The sequence below is a fragment of the Homo sapiens genome, chromosome 4, assembly GCF_000001405.40.
Source record: "Homo sapiens chromosome 4, GRCh38.p14 Primary Assembly".
Classification (NCBI taxonomy): Eukaryota; Metazoa; Chordata; class Mammalia; order Primates; family Hominidae; genus Homo; species Homo sapiens.
This window is the reverse complement of record NC_000004.12, coordinates 146,299,555-146,322,219: the sequence shown is the minus strand read 5'-3', so window position 1 is coordinate 146,322,219 and position 22,665 is coordinate 146,299,555. Positions and strand designations below refer to the sequence as shown.

The window sequence follows — 22,665 nt, the reverse complement described above, 5'->3', positions numbered from 1 at the left end:
GAACCAAAGAGTAATTTTCTTCCCCTCCTTTCCATATCTGTGCGGTAACATGCTGATAAAAATTATGGCATCACTTTATTACAAGCTTTCCCCTACTCACAGACCCATAGGCTCATGAACTTTAGTTGTAATGTTCAACATTCTAAAATTATAGAGCTACAATAATGAAAGACTTGCCAAGACCCTCAATGTAAAAGTTTAACGCTTCCCTTCTGAGTCAACGGGGCTATCCCAGTAGGTTCAGTGGCATTATCACACACATCATTAGATACTTATGGTATTTTGACTTTACATCATATGCATCGCATATAACACTTTTTCTCTGTTTAGGTTGTCATGCATTTTATAAACAATGGAAATGTCTTAAGCATTTGGGTTACGAGGCCTCATTTACTGAGCAAATAATGAGCAAGTAACTGAGCAAGAACTCATTTACTGAGCAAGTAACGGAGCAAGAACCTGAATGACTTAAAATGTGAACAAGGCCAGATGTGGTGGCTCACACCTATAATCCCAGCACTTTGATAGGCAAAGGTGTGAGGATCACTTGAGCCCAGGAGTTCAAGACCTTCCTGGGCAACATACAGAGACCCCATCTCTTAAAAATGTTTATATATGAACACATTCCATAAAAGGTGTACTGTTTTTCTCAATGTCCCTGTTGTGAGTTGAATTGTTTCCCCTAAAAGGATATGTTGAGGTTTTGACTCCAAGTATATCAGAATGTGGTCTTGTTTGGACATCAGGTAATTGCAAAAGTAATTAGTTAAGATGAGGACATACTGGAATAGAGTGGGCCCTGAATCAAATAAGATTGATGTCCTTATAAGAACAAGAAGAGAAGGTAGAGACACACAGGTGGAATTCTATGTGATGATGGAGGCAGAGATTAAAGTGATACATCCACAGGCCAAGAAATACCAAAGATTGCTGGCAAGCATCAGAATATAAAGGAGATGAAGTATTCTCTCCTGTAGATTTCATAGGGAACATGGCTCTGCTTGATTTCGGATTTAGAGCTTCTAGAACCATGAGGCAATATATTTCTGTTGTTTCAAGTTGCCCAGTTTTGGGGCTTTGTTATAGAAGTACAAGAAACTAATACAACTCCTGGAAATAGTATTGTCTTATTTTATCATATCATAAAATGGAAATTTCTGGGTATTCAGGCATAGGAGCTAATGAAGGCCATTTTTGCTGGTGGAATCTCAGCTGTATTCCTAACCTTTTCTCAGAATATTTCCTTCACTTTCTTGCTCCAATCAAAACCTGTCCTCTGATTCATGTTTCTGCCACAGTCTTGAATTGGGGAAAAGTGTCTTCCTTGTACCTCATTGCCAATTCCAGATCATTTCCCATGCGTTCTCCATAAAATGCCCTGGTTCCTTTGAAGGTTGTACCAACACAGCTATACCACCTGCTACTCCTCTTTGTTGTAATTATCAATAGAACCCCAGGCCACTATCAGTCCAAAAAAAATGTTAGCATCTTCCCATTGTTTTCTTTTTAACAGTATGCTTTAAAGATTCTTGGTATTTTCAGTATTCACATAGTTGGTCCTTCCAATACCCTGGTCTCTAAATTCTTGAACTCTTCTCCAGCAAGCTTGCCCTCCACTTTATTTCAGCCAACTATTCCAGGTCCTTCACTTTGTTATTGCCCATAACTGCATCCCTCAATAATCCAATTTTCAAATGTCCTCTCTGATTAACAGCTCCTATCTTATGATTTATTCCCAAAATCAAAAGTTCTTCACTGGAATGGCCAATTCATTTACTTTATCACCTTTACGATCCATCTAACTATACCCACCCTACTCTCACCCCATGCCCTCACATCCCATCTTACCCAGCCTAGGCCTCATGGGTCCATCATTATAATTCCTTTGTTACATACACCATCAACAATCTTGCTCATCTCTACTGCTTCATATTTGCCTGGCAAAGTACTAACCCTGCTGAACTCTTAACTCTTCACCTTCCTGCATATGTACCTGAACATGCTGGAGCAAACATACTACCATGCTGACTGGTCTCATTTGAAATTCATGACAACTAAATGTAAGTAAGCCTGGAAATTCTACTACTTTCCTTTAATTAATTCACTCTTCCACTCTCTAGAGGATCATTTCACACCTTCTCCTTGCCTCTCAAATCTCCAGTGCCTCTTTTTTCATATCAAGTATTGCCAAAAGGAAATTGGCTGATGAGGAAATAAGCAATCAGAGAAATTTTACGTGGTCCCACCCACCTGCATCTGTAGCCATATTCTTCGCCTTTTCTCCTGTTTCTATAGATAAACTGTCTTTTCTCCCCTCTAAAGGAAGTTTTTTGAGTTATGTCATTTATTATGTCCTACTTAATGATATGATTCATACAGATATTCCTTTTTCTCCTATATTTTCACATTTTCTCTCTCTACTGGATTATTTCTATTAGCATATAAGCATTCTGTAATATTACACATCTTAAAATTAAACCTCACCTTATCCTACCTGCACTCCACTTCTGTGCTCCCTTTTTGTAGCAGAATTCCTCAAAAAAGTTATTTAAACTTATTCATTACTCATTCAATAATATATACTGAGTTATTTCTGCATGCCAGACACCATCCCAGGTGTGGGAATATAACAATAAGTAAAACAGATGTGTCTTTGCTCTCAAAACAGCATTTTGAGAATACTAGTGGAAAGAACCAACAGATAAGTAGAAATATAGTGTGTGAGATGGGTGATAAGTGCTGAAGACAAAAATAAATAATGTAGAGGAATAGGAAGTACTAGATTAGGATGGGAGAGTTGCTATTTTAAATAGGATGGTTAAGTTCAGATTCACTGAGAAAATGATATTTGAGCAAAGATCTGGAAGAGATAAGAAAGTGAGCCTTCTAGGGATAGAGTGTTCCAGGTGGAAGGAACACTAAGTGCAAAGGTCCTGGGAGTATACCCAGTGTCCTTAAGAAACACCAAGGTGGCCAGTGTGACTGGAATACAGTGAACAAGGGAGAGAGTAAATTAAGATGATGTCAGAGACAGAGCAGGGGACAAATGATTTAGGACCTTAAAGTCCTTTGTAAGGACTTGGAATTTTAATTTGAGAGAGACAGGAAACCATTAAATGGGTTTTGATAAAAGGAATGCATGTTCTGCTGTACTTTTTTAAAGAATGATTCTGGATGCTGGACTGAGAACAGATTGTAAGGGGACCATGGTGGAGGCAGGAAGACCAGTTAGAAAGCTAATGATATTATGGCAAGTGATCCTGTTAGCTTGGACCAGAGTGGTTGAGTAAATCTGATAGGAGATAGTTGTAAGTAGAACTGGAAAGTAGAACTAAGAGATTGAATGAAGGTTTTTTGGGAAAGAGAAGAGTCAAAGATGACTCCAGGCCTGAGCAGCTGGAAGTGTAGAGTTGCCATTTACTAAGATAGGGAAGATTTTAGGGTTGAGCAGGTTGAAGGAACTCATAAGGATAATTCAGCATGGGAGATACTTGGATTCCACTGACTTTCAGACATCTAAGTAGAGACATCAGGTAAGCAATGGACTATATGAGTCTGGAATTCAGGAAAAAGATCTTAACTAGAGATGTATATTTGGGAGACGTCAGCATCTGGATGGGTTTTAAATTAGACTGGAAGAAAGCAATAATAAAGAATGAAAGATATCAGAGGATCAAGTGCTAGGACACTGCAATAGTAAGAGATTCACAAAGTAGACCAAGGAATGACCAGTTGACTTAGGAGGAACACTGAGAAATTTTGGTGTCCTAGAAGTTTAGCAGAGAATGTGTTTCAAAAAGGGGAGAGTGATCAACTACTTCAGTTGCTGCTAATATTTCAAATAAAATGAAGTTTCAGAATTGACCATTGGTTTTAAGAAGACAGAGGTCATTGAGGACCTTAACAAGAGCTATTTCATCAAAGTTTTGTAGTTCAAAGCCTGATTGGATGGGTTGAGGAAAGAATGGAAGAAGAGTTAAAGACAGTGATAATTGATAACTCTCTTAGGGAAATGTTTCTGTAAAGGGTACAGAAAATGGGGTACTAACAAAGTAATAAAATATGAAGAGAAGATTTTGTTTAAATTGGGAAAATTAGTGGCATATTTGTGTCAATCGGATTAACCCAGTTATGGAGAGAAAAACTGATACAGAAAAAATAAGGGAGAGCTTGTGGACACATGTCCTTGAGCAGGAGAAAGGGAGTGAGCTCTAGTGCATAGTAGCCTCCTAGAGAGAGAGATTTATTATGGGAATTGACTCATGCAATTATGGAGCCTAGAAGTCCCACTATCTGCTATCTGGAAGCTGGGAAAATGGCAAAGGCAATGATGTAATTCAGTCCAAGGCCAAAGGACTGAGAATCAGAGAAGCCAATAGTATAACTCTTAGCTCCAGTCTGAGTTTGAAGGCCTAAGAACTGGGGGTTGGGGGTGGTGGCTGGTATAGGTCCTGGAGCCAAAAGACCCAAGAACCCATAGTCCCAGTGTTCAAGGAGAAGATGGATATCCCAGCTCAAGACAGGAGTAAATTCACCCTACTTCTGCCTTTTTGTTCAATACAGGCCCTCAGTGGATTGGATGACACTTGCCCCCATTGGTGAGGGTGGATCTTCTTTACTCAGTGTACTAATTTAAATGCTAATATCTTCCAGACATACCCAAACAGATACACCCAAAAACAATGTTTTACCAACTGGACATCCCATAGTTCAGTCAAGTTGACACATTAAAATTAACCATCATATATTCCTGTTAGTGTTTATTATCTCATGACATCTTAATCATTTGTTAATTTGTTTATCTATGTTCTCCAACTAGAATGTAAGCATCACAAGAGAGCAGGGACTTTATCTGTTTTAGTCACCGTCATAATCCCAATACCCAAAATAGTGCCTGGCAGTTGAAGCCACTCAAAAACATTTTTTGAATGTTTTTGAATGTTTTGAATGAAAGTGAATGCATGGTTGGACAAATGAATGGATGCATCTGTCCAAAAAGTTGGGTTGGAGCTATTTTTAAAACTGCTGTTTTCTTGTTATATGCTCTAACTTCAGAGACATATTCTTTATTATGAAGCCACTTTGAAGGAACTGAGTACACTTTCCCTCACACTCTATTTGTAGAGAGGTAGCACAGTATGATGAAAAGGTATAAAATTCTGGTTTAATTGGCAGCCAGTACCAGTTATGTAAAAGTAGGTTTTCTTTAACCCTTCTCAGCCTCAGTTTTTACCTCTGTAAAATGAAGATTATGATAAGATGAAATGAGTTAATTTTTGTGGAAGCATATTGTAAACTGTAAAGAGCCAAGCAAATGTTACATTTGACACTTAATAGAGAAAAATAGAATCCCTGGAGGATATCAAGATTCTACAAAAGCATCATCTGAAATGCAGCAGCTGGCCAACTACTTCAGATATTAATCACGGGCTGAGTCCTAAGACTTAAAACTTTAGGATTCTATAACCATACATAATCTATAATTTTATAATCTTGTGTGTAATTGAGTCCAATGTTTACCATGGCCAGCAGTGAAACTTTCCCTGAAGTATCACCTTTTACTACTAAGATCCTGTCTTAGTTCATCCAGGCTACTGTAAAAAAAATACCACAAACTGGGTGGCTTATAAACAAAAGAAATTTATTTCTGACAGTTCTGGAAGCTGGGAAGTCCAAGATGAAGGCAGATTCAGTGTCTGGTAAAGGCCTGCTTTCTGGGTCATAGATGGCTGCTTTTTTGCTGTGTCCTCACAAGGTGGAAAGGGCAAGGCAGCTCTCTAGGGCCTCTTTTATAAGAGCACTAATTCATTCATAAGGTCTCCACCCTCAGGACCTAATCACCTCCCAAAGTCCTGTCTCCCAATACCAGCACCCAGGGGGTTTGGATTTAAATATACAAATTTTAGGGGCACAGAAACATTCAGATTATCATGGACCGAGAGTGCTTTCAAATACATTACCTCAATTATCTTGATAGCATATCTCTCATTTAGGCAAGGGCAGAAATTCTTGTTCTTCTTTATTTTCTCAGTATATCTTCCTCAGTCCATGGAGTTCCTGTCTGTGAGGATAAATTAACGCCTTGTCCAGCTTTAAAAACTGTACTTATAAGTTCGTTACTTGGAATTTCATATTAATCTTCCTTATGAAACAGTGGTACAAGTGGCAAGTGTCCACTAGATTTTAACATCTAACAGGCCAGGAATTGAAATTGTGCATGTCTTATTCATTACCTTATCTTCAATGCCAAGTATTCAATAAATATTTATTGGAAGGAGGGCAATAGAAAGGTAGATGAGTAATGAATGATTAGAATGATTCAAATGATAAATGAATGGTTAGGAGGTTAGGAACTCAACCTGACTCATAACATCTTACCTTTTATTTGCTATGAAAAATAAATTATAGTTTTTTAATAATCTTAAGCAAAATAATCATCCTTTTATTGAAACCTATTGTGTATTGTGAGTACTACAAAGATTAATCTGACATTGATCCTTTCATTAAAGATCTTATGGTTTAATAGAGAAAAGAGGATACATGCACAAATAATTAAAATTCAACTTAGAAATTATAATTTCACAGTTATATTTCAAAGGAGATTACTAACATAGAAAACACTTCATTAAATAGTAGTAGATTTTTTGCAATAAATTTTCTACTGAAAGAAAATTTTTAATTTGAGGAGAATGAAAAGGTAGATAGAAACTTCCAATGTTTCTCAATGGATCTCTTTCTTACTTCAGTTTTTTGTTTTCATTTGCATGGTTCTGATTCTCTGCTGTGTCTAACATCACTTAAAAACTTGCATATCTTTCCTTTCCTTTGATGTGGTTTATCACTAATACTGTGTTTAGCAGCCATTATTATGGTCTTTATCAGCAGCATATAATAGAGAAGACTGAAGGAGAGAGATTCTAAAACTTGAAAAGTAGTATAGGATGGTAATTAAGATGAAGAGGCGATAGGGCTGAGTTAAGCACTTTGGCTGTGAAGTCAGGTGGTTGGGTTTTAAACCCTAGTGAACAGTACTAGGACAGTTGATCAAGCATTTTGAAATCTTTCCTTCTGTGGACTCCTGTTCTCTACAAGTTGTGCAGTCTCCATATGACTACCAGTCTCCGTAGTAGTTAACTTATACTTTCTCCCCAACTACATCTTGCTTACTCTAAGAAGAGGAATGAAAGGAAGCTACCTGTGTATCTAGGCTTCTTTCCTACTCCCTCTGAAAGACAAAGTAGGTCAAAGATAGCTGTTCACACCATAGAAACAAATCAGTCTAATTCTGTGTAATTGCAGTCTAAGGAAACCATATATTGGATGGTGTTGTCATGAGCTCAAGCCCCCAAATTCTGCAGACCATCAATTTATTTAAATAGGTGCATAATTGGCAGAGAAAGGTCAGTAACACTTTGAGTTTTTACCATTAGAATGACAGACCAAAGCCACACTTCTCCTCTCTCCAGCCATAAAGGTCAATTGAGCATCAAGACCTCTTGAAACATGTGGAGTGCAAGCTTTGACCACTGCTGAAAGTCATCCTCAGAGTTCATAGATGACACCATCTTCATATATGGGGATGGTCACATCATTACCTTGGGGTATTTGACAAACATTGGCCTACATGCTCACCCACTCGGAATCATGTAAGCACCCCTTGAGTAAATGGGGGCACTGCTAGCTCTTCTATTCTATCAACTGGTTTTATATGACTTGGTTTCTTAGAGAGCTGGCCCCTCAGCAAGTAGGTTTATAAGGCACTGTGATCATTGGACTGATATACACATATGCATGTGTATACACAAACACATATGTACACAGAATATATACATACCAGGCTCTGTTTCTAGGCTAACTATATGTTCCCTTGATCTGACTGTCTCTCCAATTAGTTTCCATTTCAGTAGTTCTTAAATTCAATAGGTTTGAATTCTCACATCTTTGTATAAGAAACCTTGTTTTTCTGGGGTAGGATAATTTTTATTGAGTAGCTACTATGGTTACTTGATGCATAATCCCACGTAACAGGCATGACTAGCTTTGGAGGTATTATCTTCACTTTATATGAGAAAAGCTAGGTTCAGAGAGATTTTGTCACTCGACTGAGACTGCACAACTGGTAGAGAACACAAGACGCTTTCAGCCTGGGTCTGCCTCCCCTTGAATGCCCCTTCCAGGTTATGCTTCCTAAGCATGCCTCTTGGGAGACACAGTTTGTTTTAAAACATATTATCAGCACACAATTACTTTTTCTTGAACATTATATCCTAAGTAATATAGGTAAGAGGAAAAAGAAGCAGGCATAATAATTGCCTTGAAGAAACTTAAAACGTATTTGGGCAAACAAGAATCAAGAATATGGAAGAAATTTAGAGAAGAAATTGACTGCTAAACTGTGATTCGAACTGAGCTTAATAGGAGTTCATAGAAGAGAGAGGTCTAGGTCAGCGAAAGAGACCAAGGGGCAGCTTTCAAGGCTACAGTCATCATTAGTTTCCGTAGTAATTTGCTGTCTATGATAGAAAATTCTTCAACTTTTGATCCCATCACTATGAACAGAAACAATGTATACAGCCATTAGTGTCATGTACAATAATTATTTTTTATAATTTGTTTCCATTTATGGTTGCATAATTAATGGACACACGTGTGAGATGCATAAAATGATAAACCTAAAACCACTTGAAAAAAAACTAGCCATCTGATTGTCTCAGTTGCTTCACATTGAGTCAGTTTCTCTACCTTGTTCTAAAGCAAATGAAGACAAATCTCCCCTTGAAGCTAAGAGTAGCTTCTGACTAAGGGAAGGGAAGCACCTAGTAAGCAGTTTTCAAATGCTCTAGAGGTGAAAGAGGTGACATTGATAAACTTCTTCCCCCATTAAGGACTACTGTCCCAAGAAGGCCAGTTGCACTGCTGGTGTGGGACTTCTCAGGCTTCACTGAAGTGAGCTGGAGACATGGGATGAGTTGGGGCAGTCTTGTCCTAGCCAGGCTTTTCCCTTGCCCTTTGGTTCCTTCTTCAGCACCAGCTACTGGGGGTGCTCCTTAAGCGGGTAGGGTCAATCCAGAGTTGGAAAGACACTGGTTCCTTGCTACTCCCTTGCCTATTGGTAACCAAGCTGAAGGAACTTAATCATGTGTTCTACTTAAGAGAATATTTAGCAATAGCAGGTCCTTTGGTTCCCAAACCACACTCAGGATTGACAAGACCAAATCCTTTGGTCAAAAATTAGGGAGCAAAGTTTGGTCCTAGAGGCCTCTGAGTATCTCTGCCTCCAGCCCTTCATGGCCTGGAAGCTCAATTCTTCATAGCTTTCCTCTTTCCTCTAGGTTAGAACAAGCCAATTTACGGTTCATTTTGGCACATTTCACTAAACAGACTGTGTGGGTTTGAGTAACCTGAACCTGTGATTGCACACTTTAAGTTTCCATCAAAGTTATTAGAAAGTAACCTTTTCATCTTACATTTTAAATTAGCGTATAACATGGATGAACTGGAGGACATTATGCTAGGTGAAATAAACCAGACACAGAAAGAAAATTACTGCATAATCTCACTTATATGTGGAATCTAAAAGAGTCAAACTCATAGAAACAGAGTAGAAGGGAGGTTACCAGGAGCCAGGGAGTTGGAGAAATGGGGAGATGTTGACCAAAGGATGCAGACTTGCAGTTATAAGCCAGTAAGTTCTGGACACCTAATTTACAGCATCGCTACTATAGTTAATAATAAAGTATTGCATATTTAAAATTTGCTAAGTGATTAGATCTTAAGTATTAAGATCATACACAAAAAGGTAACTATGTGAGGTGATGGGTATGTTAAATAGCTTTATCATAGTAATCATTTTGTAATATATATGTATATCAAAACATCATGTTGTACACTTTGAATAGATACAATCTTTGTCAATTATACCTCAATAAAACTAAGAAAAGAACAGTAGCTAGCATATAAACAAAAAGAAAAGTGAAGCCATGTTTTATATAATGTTTTTATATTGATAAAATCTACTAAGCCTCTTTTGTTCTTTATTTCTCAGAGAGGGAAAAAGACTGTGCATATAAATATTAAAAAGATACTTTCCTCTCCTAAACATATACTTTCCACACAATAACCCAATTTTAGCTTGATGCATGCAACTGAATCAGTATGGCTGTTTAATAACCATATTCCTAATTTTGATAAAAATCATAGTCTTTTTAACATTTGAGTCTGTCACCTGGTATACATTTACTTGACAATTTTATGTAAGTTTAGTTTGCATGTACCCCTGTGAGAGAAGGAGCAGTAGGAATGAAAGAAAAGCTGAACTATATCGTGTATAGGGAGGGGATTGGGGCCTGGGGAGACTCTTCCTTCTTCTGTTTAAATGTTTATCTTTGTGACAGGAAGGAGATATGGGTATTAGGAGTGTGTCTGTGTGTGGGCACAATAGTAAGCAAGCCTTCTTCCCTTTCCCTTTCCCCAGGGCTGGGCTCTGCGGGTGATGTGGAGAGGTGGAAATAGAGCAGGAAGACAACAAATCCTGCTCTATGTCTGAAGCTGCTACTTTCTGATTTCCTAGCAAAAGAGAGTTAACATTCATAATTCTACAGTATCAACTGTAAATATCTATTCTTATTTTTCCCTGAATGTGGTGCTAATGAAAGTGAAGACCAATCATCAAGGGTGAATTATTTAATACAATAATGTTTTAATAGCTGGGAAGAGACACAAATAGTGGAGATGCCTGTGGCTAATGGATTTCCCTGATAGGAGATAAAAGGCCGATTACACAGCAGAGCAAGTGAAGAACTGGTGCATTAATGACAATTTACAGGTCAGCTCACTTACAGGAGTGATTTAAAATGCACCATCTGTTTTCTAACTGTAGGTTGATAACTGTGATTCTACAGACAGTCAACATCTCTTCATCAAGAACTGCTACCTATTTGTCTTTCTAAGCCTGGTTAGTTTGCCCCATATTATTTTACCAAGTGGACCCCCAGATTCTTTCAGATGAAATAGTTTCTAGATTGAATGGGTTGATAACAGTCAATCTTGCTTCCACTCAGTCTCTCTCTGCCCAGTTAGAGAATTAAGCCCTGATGTCCTAAGGCATTCATTGTGTGTATTGAACTAACTTCTCCCTAATGCATCTACCCTGGCACTAGTTATGTACCATCCTTGGGAGAGTCGAGAAACCAGTCACTCCAATCATTTGCTGTGTTCTGTGGTTTGCCCCTTCCCCTTCCCCTCATCCCCCTCCCCCCATCCTCCCCCTGTCTTTCACATAGGCACAAAAAGAGGAGCCCAGCTTTGATTTTCACTAGTGCCCCCTTCCCCTGTTTCACACTGTACCACCTATAACTAATGTGTAGTAGAGTGTAAAGAGTTAAGTGTGAGGGCTTTGGAGCTACACTTGTGGGTTTAGATTCTGTCTCTGTCAATTTCTAGCTATGGTGACCTTGTCCAGGTTGTTTAACTGTTCTGTGCCACTGTTGCCTCTTGTGAAAATGAGGGTAATAATAAAACCAACATCAAGGGGTTGCTGTGAGAATTAAATTATTCCACATGCAGTAAGCATTCAAAGCAGTGTCTGCTTCTCAAAAGAAGACATACAAGTGGCCAACAAATATAGGAAAAAAAGCTCAACATCAGTAATCATCAGAGAAATGCAAATCAAAACCACAATGAGACACCATCTTACACCAGTCAGAATGGCTACTATTAGAAAGTGAAAAAACAACAGATACTGGAGAGGCTACAGAGAAAAGAGAACACTTATTTATGCACAATTAGTGGGAATGTAAATTACTTCAGTGTCTGTGGAAAGCAGTTCTGGAGATTTCTCAAAGAACTTAGAACTACCATTCAACCCAGCAATCCCATTACTGCATATATATCCAAAAGAAAATAAATCATTCTATCAAAAAGATACATACACTCACATGTTCATCACTGCACTATTCAAAATAGCAAAGACATGGAATCAACCTAAGTGACCATCAACAGTGGATTAGATAAAGAAAATGTGGTACATATACACCCATGGAATACTACACAGACACAAAAAAAGAACAAAATCATGTCCTTTGCAGCAACATGGAAACAGCCAGAAGCCATTATCCTAACAAATTAACACAGGAACTGAAAACAAAATACTACATGTTCTCGCTTACAAGTGGGAGCTTGGATATTGGGTACTCAGGGACATAAAGATGGCAACAAGAGACACTGGGGACTAATAGAGTGGGGAGGGAGGAAGGGGACAAGGGTTGAAAACCTAACTGTTGGGTACTATGCTCACTATCTTGGTGATGGGATAATCCATATCCCAAACTTCAGCATCACTCAATATACCCATGTAACAAACTTGCACGTGTACCCCCTGAATCTAAAGTAAAAGTTGAAATTATTAAAAAATGAAACAAAGCAGTGTCTGTCACATGAAAGTGCACGATAAATGTTACTATTGAGATTATAGAAGACAACTGATTGGGAGACCTGGCTGATGATCCTTACTTGGGTCTGTGAACTAAGTAGAGCTTTGCAGCTTACCTGAATGAAGTTGGAAGAATGTGTTGAAAGCATTCGCAAGCTTTTTCTGCCTTTGTATTACAGTCATTCACTAATTGACACACATTCATTGAGCACACCCTATGTACTAGATTAGTGGTTCTCAAAGTGTGAACCCCCAAGTCAGCAGCAGCAGCATCACTGGGCATCTTGTTAAAAATACCAATTCTCACCACAACTCCCATCCCTCTCCCCAGGCTTTTTGAATCAGACACTGTGAGGATGGCAAAATCAGTCTGTGTTTTAACAAGCCCTCCCGATGTTTCTGATGTGCTAACATTTGAGAACCACTGCCCTAGATGTAGAAAGTGGTCACTCTGCTGGGCAATGGGACTGTAAATGTGAATGACATAGTGTCCCAACCTTCAGGAGCATAGATTTGTAAACAAGAACAACCAAGGATTCCGAGAGGTACAATTCAGATACACAGAACAATGGTTCACAAAAGAGAGGGTGGCCAATTCAGCATTTTTGGAGGATGTGTTGGAAAGAATTCCTGAAGAAGTAATGTTTGAACTGAGTCTTGGAAAAAAACTCAAACTTTTCCAGTTATAAGTGGGGAAAACAACATTCTAGAGGACTGAGTGCAGGCATACTTGGCGATGGACAGGCGTGCACACCGACCTCAGCTTTTAAAAAGCAGCAGCTTGACACAAGGGGTTTTTGTGTTTTGTCTACAGTTGTATCCGCAGTGTCAAGAACATGCCCCTAGCTCACAGGAAGCACTAAGTAACTACTTGAATGATTGAATGCAAAGATCCTAAATTTCCACATACTGAATTTTCATGAATGATTTCTTCTCAGCATAGGATAGTAAAACAAAGAAACCAAGCTAATGGTGAGTTTTCTCCTTTAAAGTACTACATATTTCTGCAAGAAATTAGCCAGGGACTGGATTGTTTGCTTAACATGCTGTATCTTAAACCATGGATTGGCAGTATGAGACATATTACTTCTAAATCTGCCAGGGTGGCTCAATGAAGTCCAGGGCACTTGCTTGATACAACCTTCTGAACCTGGAAACTTCACCTGCAAATTATTGCTGCTTCTCATAAACACACTGATCTTTACAATAGAAACCACAACAGGTTCCTCATTAAAATATGAAGAACCAAATATCCCAAGCAGCTTATTTTCTTCTGCTTTAGTTAAAATCACCTCTGCATGCAGAGTGATTGGGTTTTGTGTGTCTCTAGTCCTGTCCTCACAGGCTGCGCTGTGCCAGATGCTTGCTGTTCTGTCTTCTGGATGCCAGGGCATACTTCATAGCATCAGAAACTTCCCCAGGGGTCCTCTGCATCTTCATACTGACCACAGTGACAGGTCTGTTGGCCAATTCAAAAGAAAGGACTTATGCCAAATTAGACTCCAGTACTGAGGTTTCCTTCCTTTCAGAGCCACTTCTAAGGGAGCCATCCTGGGGGATTTCGTCCCCAGCATCCCTGCCATACCTCGTCTGTCTTCATGTACCCAGTTAATTACATCCCTGAGTAGCTTGCTCTGATCTCTGATCTGACAGAGCCTCTGAGGAAGGCTGCTGTAACCTGTGTTTCCAGTCAAGTGGATCAGAGATCATAGCATTTTAGAGGAAAAAGGGACCATAGAGATCATGGACAACCTCCTCAACACATAGCCTTGTTCTACTGTCTTCTAAGAACACGCGGTTTCCAAACATTGAATATGCCAGTGGTCTGGTATGCGAAGGATGGAGACATTGTAAATATATAATACTTTTTAAAACCCAAGTTGAAATGGATTTTTCTTTATTTTGGGGTGCTTAAAGAGAGAATATACCTTTGAAATGGTTATTCATATAAAAAATTTAAAAACCTAATAATAAAGTTGAGATAGAAAGAGGAGCCAGGGATATGTGAGATCACTGAAGTGATTTCAGGCAGGAAATGTCACCTTTTACATGAAGATTATAGCTTAATTTTGCTACTTCTCTCCAAGTTCTGTAAACCTTATGAATAGAGCATTGAGCTAGACCTTCTTGAACTTGAAAACTTTGTTCTTTAAAGTGTATTTTTCTATTCATCCAGTGCCTCATTTCTCAGTAAAATATATTTTTTTCTTTATTTCAGTCCTTGCCCCAGGAATATCCTTAGGGTTAATATTTGTGGAGAGAATGTATTTGTTAAGCACCTTGTGCTGCAGAGACATAGTTGCTTTAAAATAGAGCTTAATTATTAGCTTTTAATATTTTGGTTTTGCATAAAAAGAAACATCTAACAGCCATGTGACATGTAACACACCAGGAATCCTGTTTGTTCTTTTCCAGTTTCACTTTTTCTGTTTGTCTCTCTTCATTTTAGTTTATATTGGTTGTGGAGAAAAAGGGCTAGAGACCACCAATTTTTATGGGTTAAATAGACAGCCAGTGGTCAGTGTTGAAGCTGGTTTTCAATGAACACAGGGCCAATGATGGGCCAGATATATATTCTTGGCATTTTGAGTGTATGCAGATTGGGGCTGGAGCTGGGGGACAGAATTTTATACAATGTGTCGGAGTGGAGAGGAGATTTTTGTAAACCATTCATGCAGAAATCAGTGAAAACACTGTTCCCGTACCACTTCATTCAGAGCTATTGACTTCATGTAGCTAAATGTTTGATCTGTTTTGTTTGACATTCTGTACCCTCAATCATCATTACCTCCATGTCCTTTCACAAAAATTGTTTTCCAAAAGATATTTCCAAGTGTAACTAAACTTAGGTAGATATGAAAACTGAGGTTTGGTCTGCAGGGGAAAGGCAAAAAGTAAGTTCCAAGGGCCAATTATCGATGGTTTGGTAGATCTGGTTGCAAAATGAACCTGTGAAAGAGAAAAACATCTATTGTTTGTCCAGAGAAGTTTGAAAAACAGGAGAAGGTTTTGACAAACACTGAAAAGTTCCATAGGAAGACTTAGCAATTCTTAGTGATGGAGGCTAACGTGAGTGTGTTACTGTGTGTGTAGATAAGCACTCTTGTGCTGCAGGGAATAGCATCTTAATGAAACTGAGATTGTAATTGTTAACGAAGAAAGAATCAAAAAATGAGGAAGAAGAAAAATAGGAATTATGAACAGTGTTAAAGCGTACAAATTTAGGGGAGCTATATTGAAATTTTAAGTTGAAAAATAAGTTATATTTCAGGATTTCCCATTTGCTAGACATTGTGTAAGAAAAAATTCTACGGGATCTGAGATTCATTATATTTGTTTTGAAGGAGTCAGAAAGTTAGAAACTATTTCATTTACATAAATAAAAATGTTATCTTGATAAAGGAATGAGACATTTATTTTAGATATCTACAGACAGGTGAAATAAAAATCACATAACCTGTAATTGTTGATGAAATATCATGCCATATGATTATAGACTGTATGAAAACAGAATGACTTTACTAAAATAATAAGCAATTTAGGTTGATTGCAAATCAATATTTTTCTCAATCTTAGTCTCCCAATAAAAATTATATTTTAAAATACTTAACAGTTTTTTGTGTTGAACTTAGAAAATTAGAGGTAACTTCACTTATTCTTTGTAGATAGCTACCAAATTTTTGGTGCGCCTGAGAAAATCTATTTATTGCATTATTTATAAACACTAATGCTTGATAACTGATTTGAAGTAATTCTAACTCCTATTTTCTTGTTTTACAGCTTGGTTCATCTTCTTCTGTGCCTTTCACATCTATTTTTTCTCAGCTTTTTATGACTGTTGTGGTTCCTCTCATCATTGGACAGGTAAGGCCTCCAATTCTATCTGATCTTTTCTTTATGGATCAAATTGTGAAATCTTACATAATGTCAGAGCAGTTGAGAGAAAGGATATTCAGAGGGAGGAGATAAATGAAAATATGAGACTAAAAACAAAACTTTCATCAATCACAGTATTCTCATCTTTTTTATTTTTTAAATTAATACTAATCTGCTTTGCAGTTAGCTGTATATAGGCACCCCTGGTAGCTATATATATAGGGACTTCTACACAGAGTCTTGATTTTTGTTTAATTTATTATCTCCTCTTTGTAGCTGTGTAGCTACCTTGAAAACATCTAGCAAGTCTTTTTTTTTTAAGTTTTTTTTTCTTTTATTATTATACTTTAAGTTTTAGGGTACATGTGCACATTGTGCAGGTTCGTTACATATGTATACATGTGCCATGCTGGTGCACTGCACCCACTAACTTGTCATCTAGCATTAGGTATATCTCCCAATGCTATCCCTCCCCCTCCCCCCACCCCACAACAGTCCCCAGAGTGTGATGTTCCCCTTCCTGTGTCCATGTGATCTCATTGTTCAATTCCCACCTATGAGTGAGAATATGTGGTGTTTGGTTTTTTGTTGTTGCGATAGTTTACTGAGAATGATGATTTCCAGTTTCATCCATGTCCCTACAAAGGACATGAACTCATCATTTTTTATGGCTGCATAGTATTCCATGGTGTATATGTGCCACATTTTCTTAATCCAGTCTATCATTGTTGGACATTTGGGTTGGTTCCAAGTCTTTGCTATTGTGAATAATGTCGCAATAAACATACGTGTGCATGTGTCTTTATAGCAGCATGACTTATAGTCCTTTGGGTATATACCCAGTAATGGGATGGCTGGGTCAAATGGTATTTCTAGTTCTAGATCCCCGAGGAATCGCCACACTGACTTCCACAATGGTTGAACTAGTTTACAGTCCCACCAAGAGCTAACTATCCTAAATATATATGCACCCAACACAGGAGCACCCAGATTCATAAAGCAAGTCCTGAGTGACCTACAAAGAGACTTAGACTCCCACACATTAATAATGGGAGACTTTAACGCCCCACTGTCAACATTAGACAGATCAACGAGACAGAAAGTCAACAAGGATACCCAGGAATTGAACTCAGCTCTGCACCAAGAGGACCTCATAGACATCTACAGAACTCTCCACCCCAAATCAACAGAATATACATTTTTTTCAGCACCACACCACACCTATTCCAAAATTGACCACATACTTGGAAGTAAAGCTCTCCTCAGCAAATGTGAAAGAGCAGAAATTATAACAAACTATCTCTCAGACCACAGTGCAATCAAACTAGAACTCAGGATTAAGAATCTCACTCTAAACCGCTCAACTACATGGAAACTGAACAACCTGCTCCTGAATGACTACTGGGTACATAATGAAATGAAGGCAGAAATAAAGATGTTCTTTGAAACCAACGAGAACAAAGACACAACATACCAGAATCTCTGGGATGCATTCAAAGCAGTGTGTAGAGGGAAATTTATAGCACCAACAACAGACATCTAGCAAGTCTTTACCTTATTCTGCAACTTTTGATAAGGTCTCCGTGTTTATGACCATTGTTGGGAACAAGCATCTGTCTTTGGTTGGTGTCTTTATAGACTCCTCCAACAGCAGTTATGTTTGTGACCATGTAATTGATAAACAATTTAATCCTATTATCTCTTAAAGTTTATCTTAGAATATTTAGGGTTTACTTTGTCATTCTTATTCAATTGGACTGATAGGAATTCTATTTTAACTTCTTATAACAAGTTAGTAGTAAGCATATAAGCATACAAATTGTAAAACAAGTGGATTTTTTTTGTTTTCTATGAAATCATAGGATGCCACAGTATTGGAGTATAGAATTTAATGCACAACTAAAGTGAACAAGTCTTAGGAAAGCAGTACATTAAGAGCAACTAGATTCTAGACTTATTTCTGCCTTTTATTTGCAGTGTTACTATGGGCAAGTTATTTAATCTCCCTAGCTCTAGGTTCATAATTTATTAAATATTATGACAATAATATCTATCGTAAAGGGTTGTTGTAAAGATTAACTGAAATATGCATGCCTGTAAACTTCTTGTCATAGAACCTAACACAGGTAAGTGCTCTGTAGCTTCTATCATCATAATCATTATTACCAAATTCCCTGCAAATACTAAACAGGAAACAAGTCTTTGAAATATTGAATATAAAAAATGTATGTATAGGCTGGGCTCGGTGGCTCACGCCTATAATCCCAGCACTTTGCAAGGCTGAGATGGGCGGATCACCTGAGGTCAGGAGTTCGTGACCAGCCTGGGCAATGTGATGAAACCCTGTTTCTATTAAAAATACAAAAAAATTGGCTGGGTGTGGTGGTGGGTGCCGGTGGTCCCAGTTACTCAGGAGGTTGGTGCAGGAGAATCACTTGAACCTGGGAGGCGGAGGTTGCAGTGAGTCAAGATTGTGCCACCGCACTCCAGCCTGGGCAACAGAGCAAGACTCTTTATGTCTCAAAAAAAAAAAAAAAAGAAAGAAAAAGAAATGTGTGCATAGACGTGTAATATTTACATGCTGTCCTAGGTCAGGTTCTCTGGGCAACAGACTCAAAGACAGAGGTTTTTATGCAGGAAGTTTACTAGGGAGTACCCTTGGGAACAATAGAGTGAATAAAGTAGGATGGAGATGATGCAGTCCCAGCAAAGGTCTCAGTAGAACCCATGGGGAACTCTGGAGCCGGAATGACCCCTCAGAGTTGTGCTGCCTTAAGGCAAGAGCACCTGGTCTTTATACTCTTACACTGACCAGTCATTAGATACTGGCTTCCCTCCTACCCTCCATGAGGGCTGTGACCTTGGGTGAGTCTGCTCTCTTAGGCTGAGGGCAAGTCCCGAAGAGGAACTCTGCTGACATATTTTACTCACCTAACACTCCCTGCAGCTGTGGGTATAAGTATCTCATTCTTGAAGAGAGGGATCTGGGTGGTGCTCCACAGCATCCACAACACATGTACTAATTTTTTTTAATTTTATACTTAGAAAAGGGACTAAATTTAGCATAAAATGGGGGATTTAAAAGCACTTTAAGAATAGCATTTAATTAAATATAAAATGATACTTAAAAAATACTTCTCCCACAGTGTTGATCACATAACAGAGATTCTGAATAAATGTTACATCCCTGCCTACCTTTCTGACCTCTGCCAGATTTCCTACTTCCAGCCTCTCTGGTTTTCTCAGTTCCTGCTCATTCTTTCTGTTTAGAGTGTCTTTCTGCCTACCCTCCCACCTCAACTTGTTTCTCATTTGACTCTTTAATGAAGCCTTCTTTGAACCATATAGCTGATATATATTTCCCTGGTTATTCTTCATTGCAACACCTTGTTTGATTTCTTTCTTGACCTTTCTCACAAAATATACTTATGTTTAGTTTGCTTGTTAACAATTTATCTCTGCCATTCGACTGTCAGCTTCTTGAGTACTGGAACCATATTCGTTTTGTTTATCATTACATTCCCAGACCATAGGTACCCAATAAATATGTGCTGAAAGAGTGAGTGAAAGAATGAATGAGCCAGAGTTCTGTGATCTGTAAGGGATATGCTTTGTTGTATAGAGGCATAACTGAATCTACCTGTACTTCTCATCTCCACACAGTTTAAACTGTGGATTATATTAGTTTAAATTCATACTTATTTTCTTTGTTCTGAAAATAATTCCATCTAATAATTTAAGGCTTATGCATTCTTCTCATGGTAGATCTTGGAAATTTCCTTATTAATAATAAATGCTTGGCTTAAAACATACAGACAAAAAATCTGCATGTAGCTTACTTAATTATGTATGTCTAGGGTTATATAATGTATGTAATTTAAAAACATTTATCCCGAGGGAATAATGAATTGTTAGATGGCTCATTCTTCATGTACTCAGTAGTAAATAGTAAAGTATTCAGTAAATTATAAAGTAATAATGGTAGTCAAAAGGTAGTATAGGTAGCTTTTTTTTTCTTAAGTGTTCTAGATACCACAGTTCTTTGATGACTCTTTTCGAGGAGAAACCTATATGCTTGCATCTACCTGCCCCTCCTCTTGTATTCTGGTCTTAGGAATTAACAGCCACCACCCTGTCTCCACATCTAGAAACCACCAATTAGCCTTACCTCCTCCCTCTCCTTACAGCCATACTCCTTTACATCCAGGCAGTCACTTCATCCTACCGTTTCTGCCTCAGAAATCTTTCACACCTGGCCCTTGCAGCCCCAGTCACACTGCTGGAGAGGATGACACACCTTCATCATCTCTTGTCTAAATTACTGCACCTCCTAAACCTGTCTCTCTGCTGTGAGTCTCTTCCAATTCCCATCTAATGTCTTTACTGCCTCCAGAGTAGTCCTAAAACACAAATCAATTCATATTATTCCTCTCCTTAAAAACTTGCTCGTGCCTTCCTGTTGCCAATTCCTTGCATGGCCCCAAAGCCCTTCACAGTCTGGCCCAACCTGCTTCTCCAGTGCCACCTCCCACCACTCCTCTCCTTAGGGCTCTGCTTTTCCCATGCTGCATACTCATCATCCTTCACCTGACCATGGCCCTTCACTGCTCTATGCCTTTGACTGTATTGCCAGCAAACTCCTACTCATTGTTGAAGACTTGTTACAGAGGTGCCCTCTAATGTGACGCCTGCCTGCTGTGACCTAGACTGGCCTCGATTAAATTCCACGTCTCCCATCGTACTTGATTCATAAATTTATCAGGAAATAATATAATTTATTGATGAGCTGCCTAAAAGCAGAGACTATATCTTCTTAATTTTCCTACCTCCTTGCTTATAGTAACTCTCAGTACATATGCATGTACTTAATCTGTTATTTCATCCTAAGTGGTGGTCTCCATAGGTTACTATTTATAGGTATACTTAATAACATATTCAAGAGTAGGGTGTAAGATGTATAAAAAGATTGACTGAAGAGAATTTTGAATTTATCTTCAGGGAGCGCCCAGCAGTAATTTTCCCTAGGTTGCCATTTGTTCAGGATAATATTTTTAGGTCTGTATATAGTAGGTACTCAATAACAATGACTTACTTCTTTCCTAGTCATCACCTGAAAAACATATCTGAAAAAAAAGTATATCTTTTTTAAGGATACCAGTTCAAGAAAAAATAAATATTTCAAAATTTTATGTTAAAGAAAAGCCATATTTCTAACACCTCCTTTGACTTTAGTCTTTGGATGAACTGTGCTGTAACTGGCCCACAGGTACATTAACATAAATGATAGAGCCACACATCTGAGTAGATGTTATTATATAAGTGCTGCTGCATGATCCTCAGGTCCTCCAGTACCTTGGAGAAGGGGGAGCATTCCACAGGCAGGGGTGCCCAGGGCAGGCAGTGCCACCTCAGCCACCTCCTCCTATAATCACCACCTCACAAGGTCGTCTCTGCCTGCAGTGGTATAGAGTGTGTGGTACACAACAATGCTGCATTTCAAAGAAGTGCACTCACTTTATAGGCATCATAGGTTTGAATATTTATTATTAAAATTGTTCTGGCAGGAGGAAACAAAGTATATTAAAGAAGGGATTTTTCTAATACACACAAAAGTGCTATGGGGCTATAGCAGGCTTGTTGGACCTTGATGATCAATCTCAGGCAGCCCACTTCATAGCCACCATACCTGTCCTCACCTACTAAGCTCACATACTCTATTCAGTAATTCTTCAGTCTCACCAAGACCCCAGATTAACTGACCTTTCAGTCACCATCCTCACGACTTTACTTCCCTTCTTACCCAGCTTTGATTCCTTAGTCTACCATTATAATCCCTCCTTGGCAATTATTCTCAACTCCTTCACTCTTTCTCCCTTTGATGTACTTGCTCAAAAAGCCCCAACCCTGGTTAAAGCCAACTCTGCCTACTCCATGCGTGCAATGGAGCTGCTCAGATTCCATGACCTGTCATTCACCTCACTCCCTGGCAGAGCTCTCAGCTTCTTCACCTCTCCATTTTACCTGCTTCACAAAGGCCCAACCCCGCTTCTACTGGAGCAGCTGAGCTTTGCTTCTCAGAGAGCAATACACATTGGTCTCATCTTGTGTTGAATTTATGACCCCACATTTAAGGTGTCATCTAACACCTCCCAGAAACCCTACCCTACTTCCTTATAGTGTTTCTTTTTCTACTCTTCAAAGGGATTGTTACCTTATCCTCTATCTTCAAGTCCCTTTTACCTCCCCAACACTCTCCCACTTGCCCATTGCACTCACGTCTCACTGACTTTGCTTCTGTTTCTCAAACATGCCAGTCTTGTTCCTGCCTTAGAACCTTTGCACTGGCCGTTCCTTCTGCC

The 22,665-nt window shown here is 38.6% G+C and overlaps 1 protein-coding gene across 11 annotated transcripts in view; it reads left to right on the top strand.

Moving 5' to 3' along the window:
- The window catches only part of SLC10A7 (solute carrier family 10 member 7), a 267,960-nt gene that overhangs the window by 199,721 nt on the left and 45,574 nt on the right, over positions 1 to 22,665 (top strand). For 9 of the 11 annotated variants that reach the window (XR_007057973.1, NR_133924.2, XR_001741332.3 and 6 more), the window contains one exon: positions 16,211 to 16,294. Coding sequence is in view for 6 of the 11 variants with exons in the window: in NM_001317816.2 (NP_001304745.1) it covers positions 16,211 to 16,294 (84 nt within the window). In the remaining 5 variants the exon portion in view is untranslated. Of the gene's footprint in view, positions 1 to 11,255; positions 13,403 to 16,210; positions 16,295 to 22,665 lie in introns of those variants that run through there. The other 2 variants (XM_047416248.1, XM_017008692.2) reach the window with 2 other exon arrangements.